Source organism: Homo sapiens, chromosome 7, assembly GCF_000001405.40.
Source record: "Homo sapiens chromosome 7, GRCh38.p14 Primary Assembly".
Lineage (NCBI taxonomy): Eukaryota > Metazoa > Chordata > Mammalia > Primates > Hominidae > Homo > Homo sapiens.
The window spans coordinates 142,838,079-142,840,522 of record NC_000007.14 but is presented as its reverse complement, the minus strand read 5'-3'; the positions used below and the strand labels follow the sequence as shown (position 1 = coordinate 142,840,522).

At 37.1% G+C, this 2,444-nt stretch overlaps 1 annotated feature.

Annotated features, from left to right (window-relative positions):
- Positions 1,349-2,050: a transcriptional cis regulatory region, noted in NCBI's record as "candidate enhancer chr7.5168 targeted for multiplex CRISPR interference". NCBI's record gives its function as "positively regulates EPHB6 gene expression with high confidence in K562 cells {active_cell/tissue: K562}" and the evidence as "EXISTENCE:mutant phenotype evidence [ECO:0000015][PMID:30612741]".

Here is a 2,444-nt window from a genome sequence, read left to right as displayed (position 1 = left end):
CTTTCTCACTAAGATCATTCATCCTCCTTAGCATGCTATTTCTTCCTAAAAAATTTTATTTTCTTCCTTAAGATATTCTAGCAGAATGCTCTTACTTCTTGTTCTAATATGAACTTCTTATTCCCTGGTTTTACCACAGAACCAACATCCTGGCCATCCTGAGATTTAATTTTACTGAATTTTGGAGTTTGTTTCACTGTACTTTGATTTCTTATCTTCAGCTTTTTTTCCCTTAGGACTACATTTTTTGTGTGTGCTGGAATTCATATTTTAATACACTTTATAGAAAAACTTTCATCTCTGTCTGTATTAAATGACTTTATTCTATCTTAATGCTTTATTAATATTTTGGTTAGTTATAGTATTTGAGATGTAAAACATTTTCTTTTATAGTCTGACTGAAGTCCTGACTTCATTTACTTCTAGTACTTAATGTTGCTGGTATGAAGTCAGCTGCCAATCTGATTCAATTCTGCCCATGATAATTTGTTTTATTTATTTTTTCTGCAGTTTGTAGGGTTTTCTTTTTATCATTTCTATTCTGAAGTTGTATAAGAATATGTAAAAAATATTTATCTACTGTGCTTACCTTTCCCCTGACTGCTTTTCATCCTTTTTTTTTGTTTGTGATTTATATGTTTTCTATTAATAGCTTTTCTCCTGAAATTATCATTTAAGCAATAATTTTTAACTTATGTCAACTGTCCCTTATTCTTTTTCTTTTTCATTTTACTCTTTTTTTAAATAAATAAATATAACGTTTTCTCAATTTTTTTTTTTTTGAGTTGGAATTTTGCTCTGTTGCCCAGGCTGGAGTGCAGTGGCACGACCTCAGTTCATGGCAACCTCCACCTCCTGGGTTCCAGTAATTCTCCTACCTCACCCTCCCAAGTAGCTGGGATTGCAGGCATGCGCCACCAAGCCTGGCTAATTTTTTTTTTTTTTTTGTATTTAGTAGAGATGGGGTTTCACCATGTTGATCAGGCTGATTTTAAACTCCTGACCTTAGGTGATCCGCCTGACTCCGCCTCCCAAAGTGCTGAGATTATAGGTGTGAGCCACTTCACCCAGCCTCAAAATTTTAAAAAAGAAAAATTAGACTTATAATTCAATTAAAGTTTTTGTCTTTTCCTAAAATTATATATGTTTCCTCTGGGGTCAATATTCTGTTTAATTATCTTGGTGTTTCTCTTTTATTTTGCTATATTAGTAAGAATAATTAATGCTACCTGCTATTACAAATAATCTCAAAATTCTTAGTGCCTTAATCCAATGTAAGTTTTCTTGTTTTGCTTTCACCTCACATAAAGGCCAATGCGTATCATCCTGGTCAGAGAGTTCTCCGGGGCAACTTTCCTATAAGGGATGACTCAGAGATGCAGAGCACCACTACTCTAGGATTCCCATTATTGCTGCAAAAAGTGAGAGAGGAGTATCACATGTAGGAGATTTTGTGTTTCTGGCCAAACCTGGGTGGCTTATGTTTCTACTGCATTCCCCTGTTTAGAATTGGTCATCAGGCCCAATCTAGATGTAAGGATACTGGGAAATGTAGTTTTTCTGTACTCCCCAGAGGATGATAAAATGGCTTGATAAATCTATAGAATTGTCTTTGCCAGAGCCTTTTGCTTTTCTTTTTAATCAAATGTCTGCTGATACTCAGTTGTCCGAGATGATTATGAATTTAGAAATGTTGATTATTACCTGTAACTGACTAACATTTCTTCTGATAGTAGTTTCCTTTTCCCTGCATACAAAGACTGCAAGATTTCTGTTTGTGGGTGTGGTATGTGGACAGGCAGGCTGTACTCTAAGATAAGCAAGCTGGCAGCCTGTACTCTGAAAGCCATTGCCCATCCTAGGCTGATAGTTCATTCAGCTTCACTTTATAGGCACTTTCCTTACACATACTCATGTGTGCGATGTGTGACTCAGCAGCCATTGGACATACAGTTCTTCAATCAGTTGTCTTACTTTAAGCACTTTCTCATGCTTTGACTACATCTCTAAGGGCTTATAGAATGCTATAAAAATGACCCTGCCTCACCTGCTGCTTTCTCTTCTACCTCTATTGAGCTAGTCTCTTTTCGCTCTGATTTACATTAAATCACCTTGGCCATATCCATCTCCGGTCTTTGAGAAACTCATAAAATCTTATTTATTTATTTATTGTTATTTTTTTGAGACGGATTCTCGCTCTGTCACCCAGGCTGGAGTGCAGTGGCGCAATCTCGGCTCATGGCAAGCTCCGCCTCCTGGGTTCAAGGGATTCTCCTGACTCAGCCTCCCGAGTAGCTGGGACTACAGGTGCCCACCACCACGACTGGTTAATTTTTTTGTATTTTTATTAGAGACAGGGTTTCACTGTGTTAGCCAGGATGGTCTCAATCTCCTGACCTCATGATCTGCCTGCCTCGGCCTTAAAATCTTATTTTGTTAATATT